An 18,080-nucleotide genomic window follows, 5' to 3' on the forward strand; every position below is an offset into this window, starting at 1 on the left:
TCATATGCAAACTTCCCAAAGGATGTTTTAATGTGATAATAATGTAAATGAATAGGAATGTCTGTGTTTCAGTTGCTAGCAGCATGGGTATAATATTTATCTGCTTCATTTTAGGGAAAATGGCACTGCTTTATTTAGGAGTTGACCAACAGTATTTTGTATTTAGAATATAATTTCTTTGGAAAGTCTGTTTATATTTACCCTTAAAACTCTTAGACTGAAAGAAAAGGAAATCATGTCTTTTGTATACCAAATAATAATAATAATAGTGATAATGAGAGACTTATAGATGGTATGCTCCTTCTAAAAATAGATTTAGAGTCCATCTTCTTCATTTTCTTGGCTCCTCTGTGCTTTCTCTCCCCTCTATTTTATTGAGACCTGCTGGAAAACTTTCTCCCGAAGAATATTATTTAAATTTATCATGATCCACAAACTCCTGTATAGGAAAAGAATCAGAAACTCTTGCTCCTAGGGTGTTTTTAAAATGAAGAGACTTCCCTATCATGTGACAATAGCAATAAACGTAACATCATTCTATGGGATCCATTAGTCGACCTTCATTTCTTAATGTTGAAATCACAGTTTTATGCACAAATATTTAACCAAAATGCCTAAACCCAATTTAATCATTTTTAAGAAATGTTAATTATTTTGTCACTTAGATACAGTTTCCTCTCCTTTTGCCAATAAAACTATAAAACAGCACTAATATAAAAGTGTAGTTGGCTATTTGGAAGAAGCAATAATCATGCCATTCCTGGAGCATTCTTTTATACTTTGGAACAAAATATTCCATCACTGGCTCTCCAGATTCATGAGCTATAATGCCTCATATATTGGAGGAATGGGATGTAAAATGGGATCCAAGATGCGTAATTGTTTACAGTTAAACACAGATGCGCATATACACAGGGACTACAGATAATTACTTTTTCCTATTATGTATTAATTCTTCAGAAAAGCATGAGATTTAGGCACTTTCGGATAATAGCTTGTTTCTCGGAAAGAGGCAAGGGTAGTTTCCTTATTCTCTGAGTATCCCATTTTGCCAATTTCCTGTTTAGAAAGATACTTGAGGCATATTATCCATCAACGTATCTAGGGGATTCAGCTGGAGTAAAGGTGGTAGAATAGAAGCTAAGAAGGAACTGGTTCGTTTATTTTCAATCCTCACATTATGGCAATTTTTGATTTCCTTGTAAAAGTCTATGATTCTCCCTCAGGAAACATTGTCCACTTCCTAAAAAAATATACTAATTTCTAATACAGGGGTTTGGAAAGGGGACAAAAATGTGCAGGGAAGGTTTGCGTAAGCAATGGTGGAATGGGTTCAACAGACACCTGTCTATGACTTTATCCTGGAGAATGTGTAGTCCTCATGGGAAAGTTTTCCAGTGGGATAGTGATTAAGATGGAAAAAAATGCCCAAAATATCTTTAATATAAGAACAAAATGGGCCAAACACGTGTCTTTGGGTCACTGGTAATCTACTGAGCAGTAGGACATCATGACATAAGAGTTCCTTTTGCCATCCGAAGAAAAATATTTAAAATCCTATTATTTGTGGTTTTAAAAATGTTATAATGTATTCATTATAAACACTAAAATGACTTTCTGGATAATATAGTATACTGTGAGTAATTATTTTGATTTTACCATATTCTTTTTTAGTTCTCAGAAACCAAAATTGTCAGATATGGGATACTTGATTTAATCTGTATTTGAAGTTTTCTCTTTTTTAAGTGCCAATTTTTTAATTAAATTAAATTAAAATCTCTCTCTCTTTTCCCAAATTATATACAATATCTACTAATTATGTTTTCTTCGAAATGTATCTTAGCTTCATAATGAGAAGTGAGTGTGCCCATGAAAAATTTAATAGGAAGTTATGTTTTCTCTTCCATTTTCTGTTGTGATTCATTATTTTTGAAAATAATTTACTTTCATTTGCTCACATTTGCTGTCTAAAGAAAAACTATTCATCTGGCACATTCATATTTAGTAGTATTATTAAAGCAGAAAGCATAAGTTGGAAGTATAATATCTAAAAATACAAAATGAAGTATTGTACCTTGATGTTTATTAGATCATTAAGCAAAATATGATTCTGCCCTGCTTAAATCATTTGATTATAATTATCCAGCATATAAAAGAATCACAGTAGATTTTCAATAGGAAGAGTCCTATAATATTAGGTATCCACCAAAAACATTGTTCAAGTAATATTTCCACCTGAAAGTAAATGATTGCCAATGCTTTTTTTCAGAGCATATAAAATTGGCTATTCCTATTTGATCTCGTTATTGTCCTGGCATCCTTATTTTGTTAAATTTTAACTAGGCAAGGGCTATGCTACAAACATCAGTTAGTCCGCTAGTTTCCTGATAAATAAGTACAGGTAATTAAAAAGTGAACCTAAATATCCAAATTATACCAAAGGGACATATATAGAACTTTTTAAACTGGATCTGCTTCTAGCCAGTTCATATTTTGGTCACTTACTAATGTAGTATTTCACCATAAATTATGCCTAGATTGGAGCATTTACAGGCACTCTTTATCTGAAAATTCTTAAGTGCATGAGTTGTAACAGTTTCACATAGTGATCATCTCACTGTTCTAATTGGTGACTATGTACTACAGTTAGGTTGATCGTAATTATGACCTTAAATGAAGCTGAATATTTTTATATTCCTAATTTGATTAATTTTATTTTATGGGCTTTTACACATTTTAACTGCTTTAGTCAACATATTTTATAATATTATGACATTTGCCTAGAATGTAATTTTAAGAAAGTCATTTAATTGATGTTATCAAGAAGGGTTTTATAAATCAGAATTTCCTGCCTATGTTTCAAGATCATTGCTTAAAGAAAACTTTTTGTTCATGTAATATTCCAATGTGTATTTAGCTTTACTCTACATTAAAATATGTTAACAACTATGAATATAACTTGAATTAATACTAAAGTTCATGGTTTTGAAACATGGAAATCAACAATATCATAAGCACTATCTTGAACCTACAATATTTGATTACATATCTAGTCTACTAAATGTTTTAAATTGATAAACATTGGGTTTACTTTTGAATCATCAAAAAGATTCTTTAGAGAAGCTTGGCAGAATGGGGTGCAGAAGATCTGGAATCCAACCACTGATTCGCTATAACTTTTCACAAGACGATAAAACTCACATTTCCTTCTCTAAATAAATACTGGATTGGCTGACATTAAGGATCAATGTGCTGCCTAGATTCTTTGTTATTTGTAAATCAAGTACCACAAGTGGAAAAGTATTCAAGTAACACATGTGACAGATCCTGTGCTGCTCCGCTTCAGAAGACAGTGGGGAAGGATAAGATTGCATTCCTTAAAGAGGCCCCATTCATCACTGGAGCTATAGATCCTTGTATACAGAGTGAAAAGAGGGAAAACACTGTCAAAATGATTTAGTAATAGTTTTCCTGACTCCACAGTTAAACTACAGTTCACCTCATACACTCACATTAGGTCCGAATAATTGGCAGACTGGTTTTAAGACAATACTCCTAGTTCTAAGAGTTGTTCGTCATTGCCCACACAATTCAGAATCTTAAAAGATTTGTGTTACTCTGCAATTAAGAGAAAATATTGTGTGTATTCTTTTGAATGTGAAAGTAAATATCAGATAGGAAGTGTTAGTAGTTAGTGGTTGGATAAAAGAGTCCTCGCACTGGTCATTCATTCATTTACCCAAAATTTATTAAACACAAACATTGGTGCTAGAGATACAAGGGTGACGAAAACATGATCTTTCCTCCAAAAAATTAAGTCTGATGAGATGCATTTTCTAGAAACACAAAATACTTTTGAACTGAACCTTGGAAAAAGTAAAAACTTGACCTTTCAATAGATAAATATTTGGCTTTAGGAAAAAGGTATCTTAATTCTACATCAGAACTAAGGTAGTGCACTAAAATGAAAGGGAGCAATGTTAATTCTTCTACTTTTAATGTGATTTAAATAAGAGAAAATACAGGAATGTCTTTTATAATTTGAAATTCCAGAGAAAATGAATAAAAAAGCAATTAAAAAAAACACCTCAACATGCTTCTCATTTTCAGCCAAGTACAGCAAACTCTGTTTGATATTCTCTGATTTTAACCTTGGATCAAACTATTTGGCAAATTGCTAATTTGAACAGGCTATTGAAAACAGACAGTGTATCTAGCAATTCATTCATTCATTCAATACTTAATGAACAGCATTTTGGCAATTCAAAGCCTGTTCCTTGTATTGAACTATATTGGTGTATTATCCATATGGCCTAGAGTACATGTGTATTATTCATATTATCCATATTGGTGTATTATCCATAGGGCCTAGAGTACGTGGCTTCTGCCCCCAAATGTCTTACAAGCATGTTAAAGTACCCAAAATCCATCCAACTGAAATAATTTGACCCATACATTATCAAGGTTCAAGATGTGTGATAAGCCATGAAAAGGTTGGTGAATAGCCTAGGGTGCATATGGTGAGTGAAGATGGATGGAAGAAATTAGGAGTCCAGATTTATTGGGGAGACTTTATGAAAGCAAGGAATCATGATTGTTGCAAAATAGACAGTGAAGAAAGAAATGGTGTGGTGGTGAAAGTCTTCCCAAAGTCATTTAAAGTATTGGCAACCCAGATACTTGGCAGCAGGAGTGATAATTGATGTTACAGGAATCCTATGTAAACTTTTGCACATTTTAATGAAGATTTTCTATAATATGCTGTCTGGTGACTTCTCCCAATCACTGTCAAGGGCTAGACTTCATTATTTTAAGATGTCTTTCATTCATTTATTCACTCACTCATTCTTTTTTTTAAGCAAAATTTATTAAGACCTGTAACATACTTAGCACTGATGTAAGCTCTGATACAGTCATTCAGTAATGTCAGCCTGAGCATTTGCAGAACCCTGAATATGGATCCTCATTTTTCCCTTGGGGTCACCCGAAGTCTTACCCCGTTCTGTGTTTACAGTGTGAACCTTATTCTTATAAGGAATATTTTTTGTTTCTTATTGTGGATTGTCTGTACTTCCATCAGATGTGACTCAGCTTCAGTTTTTCTGATTACCTGTGTTATTTTCCAACATGTTGCAAGTGATAAGATCAGTATTATCAGGTCCCTAATAGCATAACAGGTTCGTGTGAATTAGATATATTAAAATGAGAAGATTTTTAAGTCATTTTTTAGTCAATTACGTGTATAGAAACATAGTTATACTTATCTCAGAAAGATTCCAATTCAAAGGATAGGAAATTAGAAAAACATGTAATGTTTCTTCTGAGAACAAATATATTCAAATTTTAATGACAAAGATATTAGGATTATTTTTCTAGTAATTTGATATACCTGATAAATTAAAATAAGAAATCATCAACCTTCAAGCACCTTATAATATATAATCTTTGATTTAACTTTTTTGGACAAATTAAAAAATAATTCTCTAACTCAAAGCAGGCAGAAGTATCTAATATTTATGCTTCCATCATTAGTATTTTTAAAGTACAAGAGACAAAAGCATTTTTAATCTCATGTATATCATACATCAATATTTTTTAAGTCATCAGCATCACTATGCTAAGGAAATATTTTATATAAAGAAAATTATTTTCATAAAATAAAGAAACCATCTTTCTAGAGAAAATCCACATAATCCTATGCCCAAATATAAATATAACATTTACAGTACTGACTACAGCATCCATCTTATTCTAGTTTAACATACTTCAGTGTGCATTTTATCATGTGCTTACCTCATCCTTTTTATAAAGTATCTCTTATCAGCTCAACCATTTCCTAATGTTATGCACTAATGGTAATAACATTGTAACAGGTCCGAGAATGCTGTGGCCCAAACTACTCTGATTCCTGTGTGGCACTCACACCTGGCCCTGCATCATTTCTAGAGCATTTTAAGACCAGGTTAAAGACTGGGATCCCTTCATGTATGCTGATCCCAAGAATGGACCGACCTGGCTAAAGTTTATTGCATTTCAAGATATAAAACAACTTCTATTATATTTTTCTTTTGGTGATATTTGATTTAACCTAAAGGAAAACAAAAGAACAACTAAATATTCATTTCTGCCTGTACTAACAGGGCAGGTAAGAGTGCCAGAGTAACAAGTAGTTTCCAAATGCACAATGAAACACAGGAGTGCATTGGCCAAAGAGAATGCAAAATATCAGCTCTTGCTATATAGCTAACAATGTGCTGCTCTTTTTGGAATTAGAAAATTATAGAATATATTTAATAACAATCTGGTATATGTTTTCATGTCAATGAAAAGTGGATAAATTTAGATGGTTGCTGTTTATGTGCATTTGATCAAATCTTTTCTGAATTTGACATGAAAATACACTTGTGCAGCTTTCATTGGTTGGGTCACAATTTTAGAATAAAACAAACTATTTGAAAACCATTTGCAAACTAATGTACAAAAGCAAGATCGCAGATGATTATATGACTCTGGCAGCTTACATAAGCTTTCTGCAGGATTTTCTTTCAGAATCTCTATACATAGGCTCAAACAGAAGTTATTTCCGTTGTTAGCACCATATTTTAAAGAAAAAAAATACTATGGTGTTGTATCTAATCTTGTGACCCCTGACCTTTACCAAAGCGGATTGGCATTATGTTTAAGTTCTTAAATTACAGATCAAGAAAATGCATACAGAAGATGGGGGGGGGGCACACCTAATTAATTTTTATATTTAGATTAAAGAAAATAATTAAATGTGTTTTTTTGTGGGATTGATTTTCAGAAGCTAAATGCAACTAGTTCATCTGAAGGCAGCACGGTTGATATTGGAGCTCCCGCCGAGGGAGAACAGCCTGAGGTTGAACCTGAGGAATCCCTTGAACCTGAAGCCTGTTTTACAGAAGGTAAGCAAAACAATAACATATGTGGTCTTGAGTATCCTCTTTTCTACCCATTTTTTCCTATTTATTTAAATGTCTGTTTATTTGTCTACCATCTATTATCTATCTATCTGTATCTATCTATCTATCTATCTATCTAGTAATCATCTATACCTATCCAACAACTGTACATTTATTTGTTTTTTTTTGCATTTGCTGTTTGAAAAAAAATGCAACTTTTTAAAAGGCAAAGTTTAATTTATGTAATTAGATATTTTCATTTTTATGAATCATTTTTAACTCTAAGAAATTATTAACTGGCTTTTCTGTGGCCTTCTAAAATATCTTACAGGAGAGAAAGCCAAATCACACACATCTCTCTTTAGTTTAAAAATTCAATAAATAAGAAAGTGAGAGAAGTAATTTATTATGTACTATTTTGTGATATTATAATGGGTAATAATTGATAAGTGTACATTTAAATTTGTCCTTGACTGAAACAGCTCCTATTTCAGTCAAGGTCAAATATTTTTTATTATTTCTGAAAAAAGATAGATCATAAAAATGCCAAAATATACTATGAGTCATATGATATGGGGCAATATGTCACTGGAGTAATCGCAAAAGGATTTTCTGAAGAAAGCTAAAATTATGTAATTTGAGGTATGGATCAGTTATATATTGTAATAGCAATGCTGTGTATCAAACCACCAAAAACCCTGGGCTCTAAGCTGCTTTTCTAGTTTTGACTCCTATTTCCTTCTGTGTAACTCACAGACTTTCTTGTCACTAAGTTTTACTTGTATCATTGTTTCTCTATTCTTACAGCTTCATTTTCTACATATGTCTCTTATATATCCTTCAAGATCTAGTCTCAAATCCATTTCCTCCATAAAGCTCAGAAATTAAAGTTTACCAGAAAACTCTCATAATACTTTGTTTTGTGATAATTGTTGCTTTCCATAACTATAGAATTGTAGACAAATTGCCCCAACTTAAAATGTACATTCTTTGAGGACAAGGCTATGTTTTACATGTTATAGTATTACAATTTGTTCTATGCAATTTTTTGACAATAGTAGATACTCAATAAGTATTTGTTGAAGAGCCTTTGATCTAGCAATCCAGAAATTATACAAAGGTGTTTATTGGATTGTTATTGATAATGGCCAGATTTAAAGCAAACGAAGTATTCAATAATGGTGGAATTGGGCTGGGCACAGTGGCTCACACCTGTAATCCCAGCACTTTGGGAGGCCGAGGCAGGCGGATCACTTGAGGTCAGGAGTTCAAGACCAGCCAGGCAAACATGGTAAGACCCCATCTCTACCGGGCGTAGTGGTATGTGCCTGTAATACCAGCTACTTGGGAGGCTGAGGCAGGAGAATCGCTTGAACCTGGGAGACAGAGGCTGCAGTGCATGAGCCGAGGTCAGGCCACTGCACTCCAGCCCGGACAATAGAGTGAGACTCCCTCTCAAAAAAAAAAAAAAAAGGTGGAATAGTTATATTAATTATAGTAATCATATTTAGAGAAATATTATGAAATCTTTCACAAATTTATTTACTTATAATAAAGATGGGAAATAGTTATACCATTAAGTGAACTAATCAGAATTCAAATATGTAAAGTGTCCATATAGAGTGGAATTACACTCATAGGATAAGGACAGGATGGAAATACCAACTTTTGGTAAGTTTATTTTCTTTTTGGTTCTTCTATTTTTTATATATTGTGTTTTTGTAATGTAATCCATTATAGTAGTGCTATAAACATAAAAATAAATATTTATTAAACAAATGATTAAAAAGCCATATAGATGATTTTAAGATAGCTTTTGTAAGCGGAAGCTATCTTAAAAATTAATGTTATTTACAATGTATTATCAGGTAATAATGTAAATGAATCTCCCACCAACACAAATATACCTAATCAAAGAGTAATTTTTTGTCTTCATTTTTTTCCCACATATTTTAGACTGTGTACGGAAGTTCAAGTGTTGTCAGATAAGCATAGAAGAAGGCAAAGGGAAACTCTGGTGGAATTTGAGGAAAACATGCTATAAGATAGTGGAGCACAATTGGTTCGAAACCTTCATTGTCTTCATGATTCTGCTGAGCAGTGGGGCTCTGGTAGGTGATGCATGATCCACTCCTTCACCTTTCATCTGAAATCTTTTCCCTTTCCCTTCAATCAACTCATATTACCCACTTTTAAATTAAGGTGTTTGTAAGAATGAGAAGAAATATGTGTGACGTGTTTAGCACATATGAGAGGCTTAGTAAATAGCAATTTTTGTCACTCTGTCTGGAGTAGCCCTCGGGTGGAACCAAACTCAGATCATTATGGTTTCTTATAATGTTTAAAGAAGGATCTTTCTGACTTTCAGTCATCAGAGGCAGTTCTTATTAAGACTGGTTATGTAGACATGATGTAGGATTATCAGCTAAATATCAGACTGAAGCACGATATTTCCCTGACCCCTTTGCAGGTGAGAACTAGAGTGCATGGGTGCCGGTAGGAGCGAACTCCACTCACTCACTGCTCCACCCCTCACAGGAGGGGGAGCGCAGGTGACTGGGTGCAGGAGCCAAGGCAAATGCATTTGGGCACTGCAAGAGTGAACTCCATACCGGCCCCACAGGAGCGTCTAGGGGAGGGTGCCTGCGATCCTTGAAGCCCTAGAGGAAGTGTTACAGTGCCCTTTTAGCTTTGCCATCCATGGATGGCTTAAATGTTAACAGTTCAGTGGAGGGTCAGAGTGACAGCCTTTTGCACCCACACTTGTGGTACCCAAGTTCATGTCCGGCGTCCAGGAGGAATGAGTTTGTACAAATGACTTGAAGATGGTAAATACAGGGGATTTTATTGCCAGCGAAAGTGGCTCTCAGAGGGAAGAGGAGCTGAAAGGAGATGGAGCAGGAAGGTAATCTTCCCCTGGAGTCTGGCCATCCCCAGCCAGACTCCTCTCCGAAGCTATGCTGTCAAGCTGTCCCTCTGATGTCAAGCTACTTCTCTCTAATGTCCAACTGTAGTCTCTGATGTCCAGCTGTTCCTCCTGTCTGCCTGCTGAGTTCTGGGCTTTATATAGGCACAGGATGGGGGCAGGGTGCACCATGGGTGGTTTTGGAAAAGGCAACATTTAAGTGAGAAAACAGGGATGTATATTCTCACTTTGGGCCACGGTTCCAGGCTTGAGGGTGGAGCCCTCGCCAGGTACCCGTCCTCTTCTGCCCAGAATTTCTCTGCCTCTTGTTCCTGTCAAAATTGCTTAACATAAACTCCATGCTGCAGGGGACTCCTCTGTCTTCTTCACACTGATTCGCTATTGCCAACCACAGTGAATGATAAGAAGTAGACTCACTTAATTACTGACTAGCAAAAAAATGATGGCATTACAAACTTATGTCTGATTTCATTCAATGAAATGATCAACTGGATCAAAATATTAATATAATGAAAATGATATGACCTATTTTCTTAATTGGTGATACAAATGTGGTTGCATTCCTTTTACTGTTTCAATTTAATTAATAACTAGAGTGTTTGGTGAGTTGATTTCATTAGGAGAATTACTGCATTGGATCTGGAGGCCTCTAAGGCGAATTCTGATTTGACTAAGAATCCTGTGTCCTGCCATATACTCAGTTTAAAGAGGATCAGCCATGCTTTATTTTCTTTACCTTTATTATTATTATTATTATTTTTTAGACAGTCTTGCTGTTGCCCAGGCTGGAGTGCAGTGGTGTGATCTCGACTCACTGCAGCCTCCATCTCTTGGGTTCATGCCATTCTTGTGCCTTAACCTCGCAAGTAGCTGGGATTACAGGTGTGAGCTACCACACCTGGCTAATTTTTGTACTTTTAGTAATAGAGACTGGGTTTTGCCATCTTGGCCAGGCTGGTCTCGAACTCCTGGCCTCAAGAGATCTGCCCGTCTTGGCCTCTTAAAGTGCTGGAACGACGGGCGTGAACCACCGCACCTTGCCAGACATGCTTTCTAAAGCCAAGTAGAGAGAGAACTATGAAGTCTCATTAGTGACTAGTACCTTTGCTGTAGGAGCTCTTTGTTCTCAGTTACACCCAGTCAGTGCTCACCAAATTGCACAACGTGCTGGCACAGTGGCTGGCTCCTCAGGGGTTTACAGCTTCAGCTATAAGCAAAGCCCAGAAACCTTTAGGTCCTTGTATGGAGCTCTGGTTACAAGCCCTGATTCTTGTTATCTAAAAAAGAAAATGTTCCTTTGTCTTTAATCCAGGCTGCCAGGTTTTCCTGATAATTTTTCCGATAAGAAGATCAAGTTAGATAAATAGTCTTTTCATTCTGGAAGCCTCAGGAGTTCCTGCAAATGAGTTACCCACTCTTTCCCAAGGGCTCTGGAAAATTCTGTCAAAGGGAATTTCCAAACGTACACCCACCCGCCTCCACACACACACAGACACACAGAGAGAGGGAGAGAGACAAGAAAGTGAGCAATGACAATCCTTTCCTTTTTCTGTAGGCTGAGGGACCTCCCTGCTTTATATCTGCATTACTAGAGGATGCATTCCATTGAGTCTGCACTGAATGAGACCAATCTACTCCCAGGCGTTCCACTGCCTCCTGATGTAGAGAGAAGCAGCTGGCAGTCTCTCAAAAATTTTAAGCTCTTTGGGGGTACACTGAGACCAAAATTTAAAAATTACTGAAACCCTTGGTTGACTGAAATGCCCAGTCAGCAGTCATTTATGATCAGATAATGATAAAGTAAAATTCAGCCATGGGAAACATTAAACCTTCCAGCCTTAGGCACCTGATAAGAGCTTGCATCGTTTCCTTTTTTAAGAAATCATCAATTAGAGACTGTTTCTGATCATAAAATTTAATAGAATTTTTTGACTTACAGGCCTTTGAAGATATATACATTGAGCAGCGAAAAACCATTAAGACCATGTTAGAATATGCTGACAAGGTTTTCACTTACATATTCATTCTGGAAATGCTGCTAAAGTGGGTTGCATATGGTTTTCAAGTGTATTTTACCAATGCCTGGTGCTGGCTAGACTTCCTGATTGTTGATGTGAGTATGCTGCACTTTGCTGCTTTATTCATTGGCATATATGTAATAGTTCTAGCAATGGTGCCTGACACAGTGTAGGCACTCAGTAACACTGTATCAGCCCAAATATAAATTATGTTTCTCATTTCACAGTGAGAGGATGCCTCAAAACATTTTTTACCAATTTAAATACATATACATTCATAGATAAAAATCAAATGCCATCATACTATACTTATTCACTTAATTTCAAATTAATATTTAAAATCTCAAGTTATGCAAAATAAAATATGAATTTAGAAATTTTGCTTTTTGCACACTCACATTTCGCAAAATAACTTGTATTTAAATTTTTCACAGGCATCTTTGACATTAGTATGTTTGTCATCACTAAAGCCTGTTGAGTTTAGGTCACACAGATGAATCATTAATTACAAAGAAATTTGAAAGTCCAAAAAGCAAGAGACACCACTTGATTTGTATGATATAGAAGCAAATTGGCTATTGACCAAGTAGCCAAAGATTTTATTAAACCACATTGGTGTTGAAATAAAATAAGATAGAGTACTAAAATATGAGGGTTTTTATATAATTGAATATGAGGCAAATCTACCATTAAATGTACTACTACTATTAAATGTATAAAGGTTACATGCAGAATTACATTAACAGTCTCTGGCAATAAAGGAAGACAATAAATAATATTTAGAACTACATAAGTGTGGACATTACAAACAATAGAAAATGCACCAAAACTATAACCATTCTTTTATTTGTATAATGGGATTATGCATGATACTATTTCTTTTCTCTATTTTCTGTATGTACTTATCATAGGTTGGTAAATCCATAATAAAAATATCTGATACTTGATATATCTATGTTAGGATAAAAGTATCAAGTCAGCACTGCTTGAATATAAGGAAACTCTTCAGAGAAATCTAGTTGTCCTGCAGCTAATGATCATATTACCCAAAGTACTCTGATATTTACCTTTTTAGATTTAAGAAAACTATTATGATAGTATATGAAACTGATCAACACTTTGCCTTAAATCAAATATGCTTATTGCTCATCTATTTCATTATGAAAGATACAAATATAAATAAGTCATTTTTCTAGTCCTGCAGTAGCTTACAGTTGAAAAGTGAGGACAGCTGCGTACACAGTAAGTCGACACCTGTATTACAAGTGCCACCTCTTTACTTGAGGAAGGAGGAAAGGCTTCAATAGGGAAGTGGAGTGTGAGCTGGAGCTTGAGAGATGTGAATGCTAGCAGGCACAGCTGAGGGAGGAACACGGATTCGTTAAAACGTTGGTGCATGACATGCAGGGCGGGTTCCAGAAACAAGTAGATAGGGTGAGGTAAGCCTTTGTAATGGGATGATAAGGTAAGAAAGATAAGTTAGAAAAGATCTGAAGAACCTGAGATGCCATCCAAGGAAATTTGGACTTATTATTTAATACAGAGGAAGCTATTGAAGAATTACATATAGGGAAGTGACAAGACCTGCTTGTTCTTTTAGTGAGGGAAGTTAGGTGGAGGTGAGAATGACGGAATAGAAAGGAGATTTATTTAGAGATCAAAACACCAATTAGGAGATTGCTGCAATGTCCCAGAAAGAGAAGGCCTATATGTATCTTCTTTTCCACATTTAGCTACACAAGTCACATAAAACTGAATATTTTACAACTTCTTTTCAGCCAGTAAATACTACCCCATTCAAAATATTTTCCTCTGTCTAACTTTTATCTTTCATCCTTTAACTTATGCTTATCTCTTTTTGGTTCTGTCTTCAGAGAAGGTAAAGTACTACAGGTCCTTATATCTTAAATACAGAAAAGCTTCACAACTCATGATAATTCAGTAACTATTTTTCAATTATCTGTTAAAAAGGGACTTACAAAGCCTAAGAGTTTGGATTTTAAGGGAACTATATGAACTATGTAAGACATAATTTTACAACTCATTGTTTTCTGTATTCAAGAGGCTTCACTTTCAAATTGCATGTGCAAAATTATTTTGAATAAGTTGTTTTTTGTAACAACTTTCAATGTGCTTCACTTATTTTCCTTAAAAAATATATTTTTCAAATATATTAACACCATACTCTTAAAAGCTGTATTGCATATTTATTTTTATTTATCTGCTTTTGAAATTCAGGTGTACTTTAGAACAAAATAGCTTATATAATTTTAATAATTTTTCTATATGTTTTCAAGGAAATTGGACATGTGTATGTCCCCCGACCGTTTTTCTTTTTCTTTTTAGCTAAGACTTTATAATTTTTCTCAACTACATTAGTCAACTGTATGAATAACTAAAGACAACATTGTTCTTGCAATTTCTAATTTATCATAAAATCTCAACTTTTTTTATTCACTAATTTTGTCTGACCTAATTAATGATATTATGCCCTTCAAACTGAAATTTACAAAAGTCAAAGCTGCTTTTTAGAGGCCTATTCCTTTTTAAATGTGTTCATGCTCATATTCACCAGTGGTTTGTATAGTTTACTTGTGTATCAAATGTTACTTTCCATTTCAGATCTGCTCAATATTATTAGAAATGATACAGAAATAAGTTTTACAGATCTGTAGAGGAAGATCACATTTCTCTCTCTTTTTTTTCTTTACTTTTAATTTTTTAAAAACATTTCCTACCAAGAATCTTGAAAAAGAGCACATATATGGGCTTCTTTTTTATAAGTGTTCGCAGACTAGTATCATTAACTTCACCCTGGGAACCTGTAGAAATGCAAATTCTTAGGCCTTTCCCCAAACTTACTAAGTCAGACTCTGCTATTGGTGTTTTTAACAAGACCCCTGGGTGATTTTGAAACTCATGAAAGTTCGAGAATTACTGATTCATTGCATAGAGCAAGGCTGAACTGTGTAGACATTTTTATATGTAAATAAGAAAATTGTGTTGCTTTTTCTGTATAGGTCTCACTGGTTAGCTTAACTGCAAATGCCTTGGGTTACTCAGAACTTGGTGCCATCAAATCCCTCAGAACACTAAGAGCTCTGAGGCCACTGAGAGCTTTGTCCCGGTTTGAAGGAATGAGGGTAAGACTGAATGCCTTAGAGTTTGTCAGAATTATTATTGAGAGCAGACTGACACTTTGTACCATGGAAATGTCAAATTTATGGAGAATTTGTGTCTTACACATTCATACTGACATAGCTAATCAATCAAAAATAATATTTACCAGATGCCCATAATACTTGGCACTGCTGGAGTCACTCACAGAGTAGTATATTGCCAGAGGGATTGTTTCTGATTAGCTAGATTTTCACTTCTTGGAAAATCTCTATAGTTATGCTGCTGATTTGAATCAAGATTATTTATGTTCACTTCATTTATAAATGTGCAGGAAATCCTACTCGCTGTAGTTTAAGCCTACCAAATCATTGCTCATCATTTCTTCACTACTCCGCTGTGATACACTTTGAGCCTTTTGATGTTTGAATCAGGCCTTTTAGTTCTTAAACACAGGCTGAAATGGCTAAAAAGTAGGTCAACTGGAAATCTAACGCTCATTTAGAAGGGTGGTACAAAAGAACAGAGGAGTTTGTGCTGACATTTGTCGTCCCCTGAGGCACAAAACCTGAGACCACATACCCTCACCACCTAGAAAATGATGATGCCTTGTCTCAGTTGTTTTAGCTGGTTCAAAGAGGATTTTAAAAAAATGATACTTTTTGTGATATTTGAAAATAAGTTGCTTAGACTTTATCTGCATGTTATAGTGATACTAGCTCATATTTTCTAACTAAGAAAATAGTTACTTAGACTTTATCTAGTGTTACAATCACAACTAGAGATGAATGGTGTGTGTAGATGTGTGTCTGTATATGCATGGTTACATAGAAAAGTGTTATTAGCGGTAAAATTCTTTTTACTTTACCAATTAGAAAGAACAGTTTTTGCAGTAGAAGGCTTAATAAACAAAAGGTATCAATCTTTCAGTACCAGAATACTGTTTATATTTTCTGTGTGGAATTTGATCCCCAAGTGGTCTCTTTTACTCTCAAATTTTGGACAGCAAATTGTATGGTTTGTATGATTTTTTGAAAGTGATGTTCACTTCTATATTCATGCCACTGTTTATACTCTTAATTATTTTTGGCATTTGCTGTTAGTTCCATCCTTTGAGGTAAATTTGCTACATGTGTGTTATTACCTCTTGAGAAAACATTCTCCAATATAAAATTCGTTGTATACTCTTCTGATTTATAATTTTAAAATTCTTAGTTGGAGCTACCAGAGTCTAGTTTCTACCCAATATTCAACTTTGAAACAGATTTTTTTAATCATTTGACTGTTCTTTTAATAATGTTTAAAAATAAGTAAATATTTGTTGTTGGCTTTTCACTTATTTTTCCTTCTCATCCTGTGCCAGGTTGTTGTAAATGCTCTTTTAGGAGCCATTCCATCTATCATGAATGTACTTCTGGTTTGTCTGATCTTTTGGCTAATATTCAGTATCATGGGAGTGAATCTCTTTGCTGGCAAGTTTTACCATTGTATTAATTACACCACTGGAGAGATGTTTGATGTAAGCGTGGTCAACAACTACAGTGAGTGCAAAGCTCTCATTGAGAGCAATCAAACTGCCAGGTGGAAAAATGTGAAAGTAAACTTTGATAACGTAGGACTTGGATATCTGTCTCTACTTCAAGTAGTAAGTAATCACTTTATTATTTTCCATGATGTGTAATTAAAATGAGTCTAAAGTTTTTCTTCCTCATAATGAGATATCCACCTGTTAGAATGGCTATTATCAAACAGATAAATGACAATAAATGCTGGCAAGAATGTGAAGAAAAGGGAACCCTTGTACATTGTTGGCAGGGATGTAAATTAGTATAGCTTTTATGGAAAACAGTATGGAGGTTTCTCAAAAAACTAAAAATAGAACCACTATGTGATCCAACAATTCCATTACTGGGTATATATACAAAGGAAATTAAATCAACATGTCAAAGAGATGTCTGCACTCTCACACTCACTGCAGCACTATTCACAATAGCCAAAATATGGAAACAACCTAATTGTCCATCAACAGATATGTGGATAAAGAAAAGTGTGTGTGTGTGTGTGTGTGTGTACATATATGTATATGTATATATATACACACACGTATTTCTATATACACACGTATAGATATACACTGTATATGTATATATCTATACACATATATAGACATACACAGAAACAGTGTTTGTGTATGTGTGCGTGTATATAGAAGTAGTCAGGGAAGGGGCAGAGCCTGTGGCACTAAGAAACTGAGAAAATGTACAAGACTTTTGTTTTCAGAATTACTATGTCCGCACAACAGAAAAAGTATTTCAAAAAGTAAATGCGCTTGAATGTATTTGTTTTCAGTTTAGGAAACTGCTTCTTTTTGTAGAGTGCCTTAAAATAGTATGTTCAACAATATTAAAAAGATTTTCAAAAATAAGCCCTCGTGATTGATGATTGGTAATAATCATTTAAAAACTTATTGGATGTATATATATGTGTGTGTATACACGCACACACACACACACACACCCCTATAGACATACACAATGAAATAGTATTCAGCCTTTAAAGAAGAAGGAAATCCTGTCCTTTTATACAACATTGATTCACCTGGAGGAAATTAAGTGAAATAAGCCAGGCACAGAAAGACAAATGACACATGATGTCACTTATATATGGAATCTAAAAAACACAAACTCACAGAAACAGAAAGCAGAATGACAATCACCAGGGGCTGGGGGATGATGGGAGATGTTGGTCAAAGGATACAAAATTCAATTCGACAGGAAGAATACATTCTGTAGAGCTATTGTACAGCATGGTGACTATAGTTAATAATAATATATTATATACTTGAAAATAGCTAAGTGAGTAGATATGTTTTCTCATCAGAAAAAAATAAGTATAAGAAGCGATAATTATATATTACTTAGCTTGAGTTAGCCATTTCACAATATATATATATTTGAAAACATCATTTTGTACAACATAAATATATTCATTTTTATTTGTCAATTAAAAAATGAATATATTTTTGAAAAGCAATTAAAATAAAAATGCATATACATTTTAGGAACTCTATATAGATGCACTAAAACTATATAAAAA

General features: G+C 34.4%; 1 protein-coding gene across 5 annotated transcripts in view; it reads left to right on the forward strand.

The window, feature by feature from the left end:
- SCN2A (sodium voltage-gated channel alpha subunit 2) overlaps positions 1-18,080 on the forward strand; it is a 152,891-nt gene that overhangs the window by 118,924 nt on the left and 15,887 nt on the right. For all 5 annotated transcript variants that reach the window (NM_001040143.2, NM_001371246.1, NM_001040142.2 and 2 more), the window contains 5 exons: positions 6,806-6,926; positions 8,880-9,034; positions 11,789-11,962; positions 14,888-15,010; positions 16,348-16,629. In NM_001040143.2, coding sequence (NP_001035233.1) covers positions 6,806-6,926; positions 8,880-9,034; positions 11,789-11,962; positions 14,888-15,010; positions 16,348-16,629 — 855 coding nt within the window. The remainder of the gene's footprint in view (positions 1-6,805; positions 6,927-8,879; positions 9,035-11,788; positions 11,963-14,887; positions 15,011-16,347; positions 16,630-18,080) is intronic.

Source organism: Homo sapiens, chromosome 2 (assembly GCF_000001405.40).
Source record: "Homo sapiens chromosome 2, GRCh38.p14 Primary Assembly".
Taxonomy (NCBI): Eukaryota; Metazoa; Chordata; class Mammalia; order Primates; family Hominidae; genus Homo; species Homo sapiens.